Source organism: Homo sapiens, chromosome 12 (genome assembly GCF_000001405.40).
Source record: "Homo sapiens chromosome 12, GRCh38.p14 Primary Assembly".
NCBI lineage: Eukaryota > Metazoa > Chordata > Mammalia > Primates > Hominidae > Homo > Homo sapiens.
The window spans coordinates 121,508,780-121,521,805 of NC_000012.12; the positions used below are offsets into that span (position 1 = coordinate 121,508,780).

The following is a 13,026-nucleotide window of genomic DNA, read 5'->3' on the forward strand; positions in this document are numbered from 1 at the left end:
AGACTTCCAAACTGCACGCAGCTACATAGTGCCCGCATCAGCTGGCCGTGTCAAGGACTGTGGGGATGTACAACCTGCTCATGTGAAACTGATTCGTGCTCCAACATGCTGGCCCAGGACAGCGAGGCTTCCTGACAAGGCTGGAGGGGTTCGTCTCTCGAGGCCAGTGACAGCAACTGCTGCACATGTCACACCTGCTGGTGGGGACTCAGGTTTCCAATAAGTGCTGAGAAGAAAACTCGTCAGCCACAGAGTGAGGTTCCAAAAGGGGGTCCTCTACAGCTCTTTTGTTTTTTTGAGACAGAGTCTTGCTCTGTTGCCCAGGCTGGAGTGCAGTGGTGCGATCTCAGCTCACTGCAACCTCCACCTCCCAGGTTCGAGCAATTCTTCTGCCTCAGCCTCCCAAGTAGCTGGGACTACAGGCATACGCCACCAGGCATGGCTAATTTTCCTTTTTTTTTTTTAGTAGAGACGGGGTTTCACCATGTTAGCCAGGCTGGTCTTGAACTCATGACTTCAAGTGATCTGCCCACCTCAGCCTCCCAGTGTTAGGATTACAGGTGTGAGCCACCCCACCCACCCTCTGCAGCTCTTAATGATGGCCTCTGCTTGGACACCCTACATAGGCTTTTGTGGACTGAGACCCCAGAAGCCCCCTCGCAGCGCCCACCCGAATGCTCAGAGCAATCTGCACAGAGCCATCGTGAGCTGAGCTGCACGTGTCACACTGAACGGGACCTGCCCGGCCCTCCTCGGCCGCCCAGCCCCAGACGCCACTCCTGCCCACCTTCACACCCTCCAGGAGTGCCTGGGGGTCCTCGATGCCCTCGGGGACACACTTCTTGTTCTCCGGGAGGGATTCCAGTTTCTCCACCAGAGCTTTCAGGCCCTTCAGTTCAAACTCAGTGAGATGGGTCCATTTGGCAGAGACCTCCGTGGCGGGAGAGCCGGTGGGGGTCTTGGGGTAGTCTACGGCCAATGTGGTGGACTTCACACTTTCCTCCGACTCATTAGACAAAGTCCTTTTGAGGAATCGCAGGGCAGGTGCTTTGGGCTTCTTCCCGAGGGCCTCCTGGTCCTCAGAGGGCGTGCTGGTGGGTGAAGTGGAGCCATCGGTGGGCGGTTTGGGTGCCCTGTCCCTGCCCTCGCCCTCCTCGTCCTTCTCCTCCTCCTCCTGAGGCTGCTGATCACAGGCCTCCTCCTCCATCTCCAGCCAGGAATCCGAAGAGAAGCCGTCTATGCTGGGCTTCCTCGGGGCATCTGTGGGGGCAGGGTCACAAGAAAGACCGAGATGACACCTAACTCCCTGCCAAGGTCTTTGGAACCTCCACTCACCAAAAGTCCCCTTTACTCCAGAGATCCAGCTTCTCTAACAATCCTAATGGTCAGTGCCTCCAGCCTCTGGAAAGGCCGTGGGGGACGCAGGTTCAGATCCCCACCCTGCTGCTTCCCGGCTGTGTGCACCCACATGGGTTGCCCCGCCTCTCTGAACACTGGCACTTTATTTATTTATATAAAGACAGTCTTGCTCAGTTGCCGAGGCTGGACTGTAGTGGCACAATCTCAGCTCGCTGCAACCTCCGCCTCCCGGGTTCAAGTGATCCTCCTGCTGGTGCGCCCACCACACTCAGCTAGTTTTTTTTTTAAGCTTTTTTTGTAGAGATGAGGTCTCGTTATATTGCCCAGGCTGGTATCTGGCACTTTACTTTTTAATGTCTAAAAATAAGTCGAGGCTGGGTGCAGTGGCTCACGCCTATAATCCCTACACTTTGAGGGGCCTAGGCGAGTGGATTGCTTGAGCCCAGGAGTTTGAGACCAGACTGAGAAACACAGTGAAACCCCATCTCTACAAAAAATACACAAATTAGCTGGGTGTGATGATGTGCACCTGTAGTCCCAGCTACTTGGGAGGCTGAGATGGGAGGATCACTTGAGCCTGGGAGGTGGAGGCTGCAGTAAGCCATGAATGCACCACTGCACTCCAACCTGGGCAACAGAGCAAGGCCCTGTCTCAAAAAATAATAATAATAATAATAATAATAATACTAAAATAAAATAAAAATAAGTCTAAGAGAGCATCTATTATATGATTCAACTCAGTGAAATGTCCCAGGCAGGGGACATCTATAGGGACAGAAAGTAGATGAGTAGTTGCCTAGGGCTGGGGAAAGGGCAGGGTAGGGAGATGAGACAACAGCTGAAGGGTATGAGTTTCTTTCTTTTCTTTTGTCTTTTCTCTTTTTTTTTTTGAGACAGAGTCTCGCTCTGTCACCCAGGCTGGAGTGCATTGGAGTGATCTCAGCTCACTGCAACCTCCATCTCCTGGGTTCAAGGGATTCTCCTGCCTCAGCCTCCCGAGTAGCTGAGATTACAGGTGAACCACCACACCCAGCTAATTTTTGTGTTTTTTAGTAGAGACAGGGTTTTACCTTGTTGGTCAGGTTGGTCTCGAACTCCTAACGTCAGGGATCCACCCGCCTCGGCCTCCCAAAATGCTAGGAATTTTTTTTTTTTTTTTTTTTTTTGAGACAGAGTCTCACTTTGTTGGCCAGACTGGAGTGCAATGGCGCGATCTCGGCACACCGCAACCTCCGCCTCCCAGGTTCAAGCGAGTCTCCTGCCTCAGCCTCCCGAGTACCTGGGATTACAGGCATGTGCCACCACACTGAACTAATTTCATATTTTTAGTAGAGACGAGGTGTCACCATGTTGGCCAGGCTGATCTCGAACTCCTGACCTCAAGTGATCCACACGCCTCAGCCTCCCAAAGTGCTGGGATTACAGGCGTGAGCCATCGCGCCCGGTGGTGCTAGGATTACAGGCATGAGCCACTGTGCCCGGCCCCGGGTTTCTTTTTGCGGTGATGAAAATGTGAAATTGACTGCAGCAGTGGCTGCATGTATCTGTGAATAGACTAAAAACCACTGGATTCTACACCCTAAATGGTGAATTGTGTGATATGGGAACTATATCCTAATAGGGCTGCTTAAAAAATATAAGGCAAAGGAAACACCCTCAGAAAGCCGTGGTGCGGAGTACACAGGTATCCCTGGGCACAGGCACTGGCACACAGCAGCTCTGGATGGAGGGGGTGTCTCCCTCACGTTGCCCCTTCTCATTGGCAGATGGACTGGGAGAGCCAGAGGGAAAACAGTGGCAGGAAAACGTAAGGAAGATGTGGGTACTGATTACCCAAGCACCACCTCGAGATTTCCTCCTGTGCCTGCGAATGGAATATTATTCTTCTGCCCTAAATGTCCAAGTGAAAGAACCAACCCTCGGCCTTCTGGCCTGGGGACTGCAGACACTCAGAAAGCCTCTCACTCTCCCCAGCCTCTGTCTCCGGGGGATCGTGGAGTTACTGTGATCATAGCGGCTCTCACGCTATTTCAGGATCATTTCCCTTCTCTCCTACCAGGCTGGGAGCTCCAGAAGGGCAGGTTGTAGGGTTTCGGGACTTTCCAACCCCCTGAATATCACATCATCAGGCGGGAATGAGGCTCGCGACAGACCTCACAGGCAAAGACTTCCCAGTGAAGGCCCCAGCAGAAACACTGGTTCCCCATCATACGCCCAGCCTGGAAACCCTGAACGTCATTAAGGATGGGGCATAAGGGAAGGGATGGAAGAGGCTTACTGTAAAGGGGAAATAAAAAAAGAATCTAAAAATCCTAGAGGCTGCAGGAAAAATTGTGCAGACCCTCAAGGAGACAGACCAGTCTCATCTTTCTATCCCCTGGTTAAAAAAAAAAAGATGCAGTGTCTGAGATGCTGCAGACTCTACATCATCCAGGAAAACCCCTGCACCACAACAGCTCAGACGCAGCCGAGAGGAATCACGTTCTTCCTCTAGATTGCTGGTCGGGGCTTGCAGTCACAGCCAGATCCAACTTCAGGGCGGGCGTCTGTGAGTCAAGATTCAAGGGCAGAGCCGTGTTCGGGGGGGATGATGTCCCTTTAAGTACTGGCAGCAGGGCTGGGCGCTGCAGCGGCTCCAAACACTCTCTCCTGCTCCTCCAGGCCCGCACCACCTGCCCTGGTCACCCCTCCTGCTGCCTCAAAGACAGCCTTGAGTTTTCAGAGACTGGCTGCATCTCACAGGACTGCTCTTACATAGATAAAAACCCAACCTCCAGTGCAGGAGGAAAAATCAGCTGGTGTCCACGGAAGAGCCAAAAGAACGAGGATTCTCTGCTCTGTGGGGTGATCCCGTTTTAGCAGCCAAGCCCGGGGCGGCCCCAACCTGCATCTACACAGCCATGGGCTGGAGGCCACACACGTGACTCTTTTGGGGATCCGAATTCATTTTCTTGGACTCTGTATTCCAGGTGGGAAACTGGCAAGAATGGCTTCCCCTGAGGGGTTCCTAGGATTCTGCCCAATACACTGATTCAACGAATCCCCAAAACTCAGGGAGTGTCTCCAGGCCCCACTGAGAAAATGATTTCTGCCCCAGCTGTGCAGCCGAGGCCGTGGGCTCCCTCCGGTTCACTCACCAATAAGCATCGACTCCCTCTGGTATTCCTGAGTGAGGTGGGAGCGCTGGGTCACACAGTACACGTATCTCTCCAGGACATACCAGCACATCTCATAGTAGAAGGGGTAACGGAATTTGGGCTGCACCTGAAAGCAAAGACGCAGGCAGGCAGAGGTCAGTTTCCAGAGGGCGAAGGGGGAAGGAGGGAGAGAAGTGCGGGGCAGGCTCCCTGCAGGTGAGGGTCACTGTCATCATCTTAGCGAGAGCATGGATGGTCGGGGGAGAAATGGTGGGGTGCTGGAAGGGAGATGCCGGCAGCATGCACAAATGAGGCGGAGGACGAGGCCCGCATGAGCGCCTCATCTCAAAGGTCCCTGAGCTGCACGCCCCAGAGGTTGGATGGGGGCCACTTGATGCTCCCGTGAGATGCAGAAAAACAGAATTCTCCCCTGACCTGCCTGCAGAGAGTGTGGGCACCTGCAGGTGGGAGCCGCTGCCTGATTCTAGCTACAACAGACATAGGTTCCTCCTTGTTTCTGAAAATTCCTGCACAGATTCTGCTGTTCCTCCCTCCTGCTTGAAAACCAGAAATCAACTTCCAAGCCTTATCTATTTGCAGACAGGTTATGGAGCCTCCTCCTGTTTGTTGGGAGGGAGGCCAGGCCAGCGGACCAATAAGAGTGAGGGGGTGTGGCCTCGCCTACCTCCAGGGGTGGGGCCTTGAAGGGGTCCATCTCCTGCTCCTCCCCACACCCGTCTGGCACTGCCCAGCCTGCAAGGCCACAAGGGCTCCCTCTGACAGAGGTCCCAGGTATGACCTGAGACCAGCGTGATGCTGAGCTGAGGGAGACACATCTCGGGTCTGGAGCAGGAGATCCCTTTTGTCCCACCTCTGTCACCCAGGCTGGAGTGCAGTGGCACGATCATAGCTCACTCAGCCTCGACCTCCTGGGCTCAAGCGACCCTCCTGCCTCAGCCCTGTGAGTAGCTGGGACTACTGGCGCGCGCACCACCACGCCTGGCTGGGTTTTTTTGTATTTTTTGTAGAGATGGGGTTTGCCATGTTGCTGGTTGGCTGTTTATCATAGAAGAGGAAGTAAAGGTGGAGACAGCTTTGTGTACTAGAACTGTCAAAAGGCCTGAGCCCCGGGAGATTCCACGGGGGGCAGTTCAGGGTCTGTACAGATGAGATGTCACCGAAAGATGGGAAGGAAACAACGCCACTGATGGACCCAACACAAGGATGGAAAGAGGTCCCTGACACCCACACGGGGCCTCTCCTGCAGAGGCCACACGATGGTCTCACATGCCCACACTCACACCTTGCTCCCTGGCTCTCTTGCCAAGAGGGTGTCTGCGGGGACGAGAAAGCCCTCCTCCCCTCCCTGATCCTATGCGAACTCAGGGAGTTGGATGGTGAACAATTACATTCTCCCACCTTCTAATCACACTCCCCTGCCCCTAATATCTTCACTCCCCTAATCGCACTCACCCATCCCCCCATTCACACTCCCCATCCCCCCATCACACTCCCCACCCTCCTATTCACACTCTCCACCCTCCTATTCACACCCCCCCACCCCCTAATCACACTCCCCACCCCCTAATCACACTCCCTATCCCCCTCTAATTACACTCCCCATCCCCCTCTAATCACACTCCCCACCCCCTCTAATCACACTCCCTATCCCCCTCTAATTACACTCCCCATCCCCCTCTAATCACACTCCCCACCCCCAATCACACTCCCCACCCCCAATCACACTCCCCACCCCCTCTAATCACACTCCCCACCCCCAATCACACTCCCCACCCCCTCTAATCACACTCCCCGTCCCCCAATCACACTTCCCATCCCCCAATCACACTCCCCATCCCCTGATCACACTCCCCATCCCCCTAATCACACTCCCCACCCCCTAATCACACTCCCCACTCCCCTAATCACACTCCCCATCCCCTAATCACACTCCCCATCCCCCAATCACACTCCCCATCCCCCAATCACACTCCCCGCCCCCAATCATACTCCCCGCCCCCAATCATACTCCCCATCCCCCAATCACACTCCCCATCCCCTGATCACACTCCCCATCCCCCTAATCACACTCCCCACCCCCTCTAATTACACTCCTCATCCCCCTAATCACACTCCCCACCCCCCTGATCACACTCCCCACCTCCAAATCGCACTCGCCACCCCCTCTAATCACACTCGCCACCCCCAACCACACTCTGCCACCCCCTAATCACACTCTCCCACCCTCCCCGAATCACACTTGCCCACCTCCACTGCCCTGCTCTCTGCTGACAATAAACAGGTGACATTCCCCATCTGGGACAAAGACAACTAGAAGCAGACCTCCGTTCTCCTTTTGCCCTAAAATGCTATTTTGCTGCATTTCTCAAAGTGCCCGTCTGGAAAAGGCCCAAACCCAGCGTCTCTGAGAGTCCTGGCTCTCACTCAGCTCCTGGCCTCAAGGCCTCCTCCCACTGCTGGGCCTCCTCTCTCCGCCTGCACACTGGGTGCTGGGCTCTGCCTGCCTCTGATGGATGGAATGCTTTGGAATGGGATCATGGCCACCACATGCTCTTCAGCCCCCTGGGGGATGCACGGAGTGGGGACCATCATCTAGCGGTTTCCTTGGCTCCAGCTCCTTTCCTGAGAACCCCAGTTTCAGTGCTGGGAGAAGAGTCATCTTTTCTCATAGTTACTAGATCGGTGCCCTCTGGAGTTTAAAAAAGAGGGGCTCCTAGGCATGAAGCAAACCTTGATTTCCTATGAAGAAGGGTTTAGGGGACCTCAGCCCCACCTCTATTCAAGAGAAACGGACAAAAGATTTTGGAACGAATTACCAGTACTTAAAAAGCAAGCTGAGGACGGACAGACCTCATCCACATTTCCTGACATGAGACTTGATTGGTAAAACTCTGAAGTCGGTTTTGACTTTTCAAATCTTTTTGACACCTTCCGAGCCATTCTGCTCGGACACCATGACCACCTGGGAATCTTTCTAAATTAGGGGAAAAAAATTGAGGGGGCTGCACTTCAGGAGGGAAAGATAAGTCTCCCTTCTTTGTTGCTGAACCCAATGGAAACCAGCTGGGTGAAAACAAATGCTGATGAAGGAATTCAAATTTTTATTTATTTATTTATTTTTTTTTCCAAGAGAGGACTGCGGGAAACAAAAATTTGCAAAGAATTGACTTACAAACAGGTTGTCGCCTTCCACCCTTCGCCTTCAAAAGGTTTCAGCCACATGCCTGGGGACATTAAACATACGGTTGCTCAACATTATTTGTTGACAGACTCGGAGCCTCACCAAATTGAGTTAACCAACGTCAGTCCAAAACAAAAGGCAAGGCAGTCACAAGGCATGCAATGCTCCCAGCCTGCAGGTCATCCGTCTACCAGAGGACCTCAGGGCCCACTCAGCGGCACCTGGCCTCAGCCCTTCCTCGGAGGTCCAAGTCATCTTCAAGCTGAGTGACCTCAGGAGATGACAACAAAAGGTTTCTCGAGTGTATCTAGAACTCCCAGGTCTCAAGGACTTGAAAAAGTCAAAATGTGAGAGTGGGTGGAAGTGTCCTACAATTTGTTTTTCTCCTGGAAAAAAAAAAAAAAAAATCAATGGAAAAAAAAAAAAGTCCAATGGTAGGGGGAAGGGGAGAGGGAAGGTAAATTATTTGCAATTTCCAAATAGATTCAGTGGCTGTAAGGGAATGGGGCATGTCGGCATTACCTTTTCTGGGAAGGCTGCTTTCACTAGAGCCACTGGGAGGGGGGGAAAGATAAATAAAAGATAAATATAAGAGAGATGGCAATTTAATGATCATTTGGACCATACCTATTCCCTATCAACCTAACTGAAGTTAAAAGAATGTAGTGATGATCGAGATGTTGTCTTAAGTATCAAATGCACAACATATCCACTCGTTGCTGTCACTCTTCCATCACTCTTCATAGCTTCAGGATGAGGGGAAGGGGAGATTTCATCTACAAGGGTTGGGGAATGGAAATCCACCATTCCCCAAACACCTGTATATGTTCGTGCCACCTCATGGGCAGTGACATTGCAGGATGGGGTCACCTATCATCTCGCCAGAAAAATTTAAATGGTGAAGGTAAGACACAGCTTCCTAGGGAACCCTGGGGTTCCCTAGTTTAGATAGGGGTCCCCACCTTGGGCCACAAAGGCAAATTCTTTTTCTTTTCTTTTTTTTTTTTTTGAGATGGAGTCTCGCTCTGTCGCCCAGGCTGGAGTGCAGTGGCTCAATCTAAGCACACTGTAACCTCTGCCTACTGGGTTCAAGCAATCCTCCTGCCTCAACCTCCCGATTAGCTGGGACTACAGGCATGAACCACCATGCCTGGCTAATTTTTGTATTTTTTTAGTAGAGATGGGGTTTCACCATGTTGGCCAGGCTGGTCTCGAACTCCTGACCTCAGATCATCCGCCTGCCTTGGCCTCCCAAAGTGCTGGGATTATAGGCGTCAGCCACCGGCGCCTGGCCAGGCAAATTCTTTTTCTAAGACAAAGCCACACCATGGAGCTTGGAGACTGACCGATGGTTCCCTCTGTCCCACCTCCTGCATTTGGTTTCCAGGCAAAGCCATGTTTTAGGACTCTTAAAACACTTTTTTTGAGGGGGGGGATGGAGTTTCGCTCTTGTTGCCCAGGCTGGAGTGCAGTGGTGCGATCTCAGCTCACTGCAACCTTTGCCTCCCGGGTTCAAGCAATTCTCCTGCCTCAGCCTCCTGAGTAGCTGGGATTACAGGCACACACCACCATGCTCGGCTAATTTTTGTATTTTTAGTAGAGACAGGGTTTCACCATGTTGGTCAGGCTGGTCTCGAACCCCTGACCTCAGATCATCCGCCCGCCTTGGCCTCCCAAAGTGCTGGGATTACAGGCGTGAGTCACCATGCCCAGCCTATAAAACAGTATTTTTAAATGGCCATAACCTTCTTAAGAAAGCTCTCAGGGCTGTAAAGAATGAAGCTGTAGTGAGCTAACAAAGAGCCCTGGCATCTTATCTGGTTCCAGAATTCTCTCCCCAGTGCCTTTTGTCTGCCTTGGCTCCTAAGGCATAAACAATTGGGCCTCGTAGCCAAGTCCCTCTCTCAAGACCAGAAATCAAGGCAGATTAAACAACCTGCCGCTGCTCCCAGCCCAGTCTGCCCCCAAGCCCCCGCTGCCAGCCTGCTTCGGTGAAACCAGATGGGGTGCCCACTCAGGGGAAGGGACAGTAGGCCCCGGTGGGGGAGGGGACCTGCCATTCTCAACGAGGACGTGATATTCCACGTAAGCTCAGTGTGATGCTCAGGGGTCCGGCCAGCACCCTGCCAGTCGTCATGGGTGGGGGAAGGGACCTGGGCTCCTAAGGGAACCATGGGGCCCAAATCCGCTGAGTTTACAATTGAATTCCCAGGGGGACGGGGTGGTTGTCCAGCAAGTAGCCACAGCCTTTAGAAATCCCAGCCTGACTCCGGCTTTCAGGAATTGCCTGGAAAGTCGTGGGCCTGACTTCCACTAGATTTCTCCATCTCTATTCCACACGTCTGCTCGTGCACAAACTGGCCTGTACTCCAGGACAGGCCAAAGAACAGTTGGCCGGAGCCCCAGACAGCATTGACCCAGACTGTGAGGTGACCGCTTGTATCCAAACAGTGCCTTTCTCCTGAATGGCATGGGGCGGCTCCTCCAGACCAGGGTGGGGGCTGGCCTTCCCCAGGTGGGATGGGGATGGTGGGCCACAGAGAGGTGAGGGGAAAAAGTCCACAAAACGATGGTCTCCCATGGAGCCCCAGCCCAGACCCAGGTCTCTCCAGATCTAGGCGTCACGTGTCAATCTGCAGAGGTACACATGCCTCACAACATCTGACCACTGAACTCAACTCCAGGTGGTCTCCAGGAAACCCCCAGACATGGGCCCACAATGCCGGGACTGTTCAATGTTCAGATACAAAGGCAGCAGCTAATACTTTGCTCATGTATGTGATTTTGTGCAAACCAAGGCCTGAAAACAAGACCAGGAGAGACAGGGGCTTGGTACAGAGCAGGTGCCCTTGTGAGACCTCTCCTTAGATCTATGCAGAGCAACACCTCACTGGGGCAAAAAGCCATCTCAGAAGCAAATCCCAAGAAGAAATGGTGTGGTCTGGCTACAGAATGGAATATTATTCAGCCATGAAAAGGAATGAAGCTCTGGCACATGCTACAATGTGGATGAACCTGGAAATCATTATGCTACATGAAAGAAACCAGACACAAAAGGCCACATGTTGAATGACTCCATTTACATCAAATGTCCAGAATAGGCAAATCCACAGAGATAGAAAATAGATTAGGGCTAGCCAGGGGAAAGGTGGGGAGACACAGGAAGTGACTGCTTGTGGGTACAAGGTTTCTTTTTGGGGTGATGAAAATGTTCTGGAATTAGTGGTGATCATGACACAATCTTATAAAGATACTAAAACCACTGAATTGTATACTTTGAATGGTAAATTTTAGGGTATATGAATTATATCTCAATTTAAAAGAAAATGAATATTTGAATAGCTGTGTTGAAAAAACAGGAACAAGTAGAACAAGAAATGGGACTTTTTTACCCCAAGTCTCTGGGTTTTGTTTGTTTCTTTGTTTTTTAGTATGAGACAGGTCCGGCTCTGTCGCCCAGGATGGAGTGCAGTGGCGTGATCTCGGTTCACTGCAACCTCCGCCTCCCGGGCTCAAACGACCCTCCCACCACAGCCTCTCAAGTAGCTGGGACTACAGGCGTACACCACCACGCCCAGCTTTTTTGTATTTTTGGTAAAGACAGGGTTTCATCATGTTGGCCTGGCTGGTCTCGAACTCCTGACCTCAAGTGATCCACCCACCTCGGCCTCCCAAAGTGCTGGGATTACAGGCAAGAGCCACCGCGCCCGGCCCCAAGTCTTCAGTTTTGACCCAGTTTGGGACCTGTCTTATGTGCCTAGGGACACGTGATCAAGTCCTAGCACGAGAAAGGCCATGGCAAGTTCAGGCCACTTGTCCTTTTCAGGGGACACTTGTGGAGCGAAGGACACACATCAGTTACCTAAGCCTCCGCCCATGTTCGTAGGACATGGGGTGAGTGAGGGAAACTTGACGTCTGGGAAACTAGCACCGTCCCTGTCAAGGGCAGAGAAAAGCCTCGGCCCCAGGAAACTAGAGACGTCCTCAGCAGACATGGAGACTACCTCAGAGACAGTACCCAGGGGGACTCAGGCACTGGCTTCCTCAGGCTTCCTCCCCAGTCAGATCTGGGGTCCCTGGGAGAACATATAGCCAAGACCTGACCTCAGACCAGGACAGGCCCTTCCAAGGTCCACACCCATCCTCCAAACAACAGCGACCAAATCCCCCTAATCCCTCACACCACTTTCTCCACGTGAGGAGGAAGAGGCAGGTCCCTGAAATCTCACGGTGCTTTCTCAGAGACACTTCCTCTTCCACAAGGGGGTTTTGGCTGCCCCCAACCTGGAGGTGAACAGAAACTCCAGGGCCTCCGGGTGTGGCTCCTACAGGCATTCCCCTGCCCCCCCTCCCCCGCCACAGAACCAGGACTGAAGCCAGCTTGAGAGAGGAATCGGGAGGGAGAGGGGAACTGTGGAGGACTTCAGTATGACCTGTCCCACACACCGAGCACCGGCAGAGCTCAGGGGCCAGGCGCGCACGCGAGGACAGAAGGGAACCTCCTTACCCGCGTCCTGTCCTCGATCTCGTAGATCCGCAGCTGCATGGGCACGTTAAAGCTGTGCAGGATGTTTCCGCCGAACACCAAAGAGTCTACAGGGGTGTAGACGGCATGGATCCAACCTGGGGTGGGAAGGGCAAGGAGAGGATGAGCCGCTGGCCCCTGTGGGCTCCCACACCTCACAAGGCTGCAGGGAGGGAGAGCGAGCGTGCAGGAGGGTGCAGGGAGTGGAGAAGAGCAGCCAGGGCCTGGGGCAGCGGCGCCCAGCAATGCCTGCTGCACAACGCCCAGGCCTGAGCCGCCGAGAGGACTCAGACTTGCAGCCTCGAGCAGCCACTGTCTGGCTCAAGTCAGGAGCTGGGAAGCTGCAGATCAGCCCCCACTTCTTGAGGACCGTGATGACAAAAGCTTCCTCTGGGGACCTGGCTGCAATGGCCAGCAGAGAGGCAGGCCCTTTCTCCACCTCCATGCAGGCCACGGAGCCTCACCTCCCCTCCCAGGTGGCACATGTGTCCAGAGTCTTTCCTCACCATCCCAGAGGGGTCACAAAGGATGGCTGGGAACCATGACGCAGGAGTGACGTCTTGCCAGAGCTGCAGGACCCAAGCACTTTCCTCCGCCCAAGTCCATCTTCTTGTCATCAAACTCCACCCAGGCCCCTTTCCATGTGGTCTCCTTGGTCACACAACGCCTGCATGCCCCCCTCAGCTCTGCCCTCCACTCTGCCCCACAGGCTGCTGGTAAGTCTCTCCTGCAGCTTCTCACAGCTGGGAGCCGCAGTTTTTCATCTCTCCAAACTCCTAGCCTGGAGCCAGACACAGTCACCA

At 53.3% G+C, this 13,026-nt stretch overlaps 1 protein-coding gene across 46 annotated transcripts in view, besides 6 other annotated features; it reads right to left on the reverse strand.

The window, feature by feature from the left end:
- The window catches only part of KDM2B (lysine demethylase 2B), a 173,819-nt gene that overhangs the window by 100,319 nt on the left and 60,474 nt on the right, over positions 1 to 13,026 (reverse strand). For all 46 annotated transcript variants that reach the window (XR_007063140.1, XM_047429682.1, XM_047429681.1 and 43 more), the window contains 3 exons: positions 12,206 to 12,321; positions 4,497 to 4,623; positions 788 to 1,260 (listed from right to left, as the gene is read on the reverse strand). Coding sequence is in view for 45 of the 46 variants with exons in the window: in XM_047429682.1 (XP_047285638.1) it covers positions 788 to 1,260; positions 4,497 to 4,623; positions 12,206 to 12,321 (716 nt within the window). In the remaining variant the exon portion in view is untranslated. The remainder of the gene's footprint in view (positions 1 to 787; positions 1,261 to 4,496; positions 4,624 to 12,205; positions 12,322 to 13,026) is intronic.
- Positions 5,005 to 5,298: a silencer, noted in NCBI's record as "fragment chr12:121951587-121951880 (GRCh37/hg19 assembly coordinates)". NCBI's record gives its function as "represses an EF-1alpha promoter that drives an FKBP-Casp9 reporter gene in an ReSE screen in K562 erythroleukemia cells {active_cell/tissue: K562}" and the evidence as "EXISTENCE:reporter gene assay evidence [ECO:0000049][PMID:32094911]".
- Positions 5,516 to 5,585: an enhancer, noted in NCBI's record as "active region_7169". NCBI's record gives its function as "activates an Ori minimal core promoter by ATAC-STARR-seq in GM12878 lymphoblastoid cells {active_cell/tissue: GM12878}" and the evidence as "EXISTENCE:reporter gene assay evidence [ECO:0000049][PMID:35858748]".
- Positions 5,896 to 6,005: an enhancer, noted in NCBI's record as "active region_7170". NCBI's record gives its function as "activates an Ori minimal core promoter by ATAC-STARR-seq in GM12878 lymphoblastoid cells {active_cell/tissue: GM12878}" and the evidence as "EXISTENCE:reporter gene assay evidence [ECO:0000049][PMID:35858748]".
- Positions 6,498 to 7,006: an enhancer, noted in NCBI's record as "H3K4me1 hESC enhancer chr12:121953080-121953588 (GRCh37/hg19 assembly coordinates)". NCBI's record gives its function as "activates a minimal SCP1, AML or CMV promoter by ChIP-STARR-seq in naive H9 embryonic stem cells {active_cell/tissue: H9 hESC(naive)}" and the evidence as "EXISTENCE:reporter gene assay evidence [ECO:0000049][PMID:30033119]".
- Positions 7,007 to 7,513: an enhancer, noted in NCBI's record as "H3K4me1 hESC enhancer chr12:121953589-121954095 (GRCh37/hg19 assembly coordinates)". NCBI's record gives its function as "activates a minimal SCP1, AML or CMV promoter by ChIP-STARR-seq in naive H9 embryonic stem cells {active_cell/tissue: H9 hESC(naive)}" and the evidence as "EXISTENCE:reporter gene assay evidence [ECO:0000049][PMID:30033119]".
- Positions 9,791 to 10,364: an enhancer, noted in NCBI's record as "H3K4me1 hESC enhancer chr12:121956373-121956946 (GRCh37/hg19 assembly coordinates)". NCBI's record gives its function as "activates a minimal SCP1, AML or CMV promoter by ChIP-STARR-seq in naive H9 embryonic stem cells {active_cell/tissue: H9 hESC(naive)}" and the evidence as "EXISTENCE:reporter gene assay evidence [ECO:0000049][PMID:30033119]".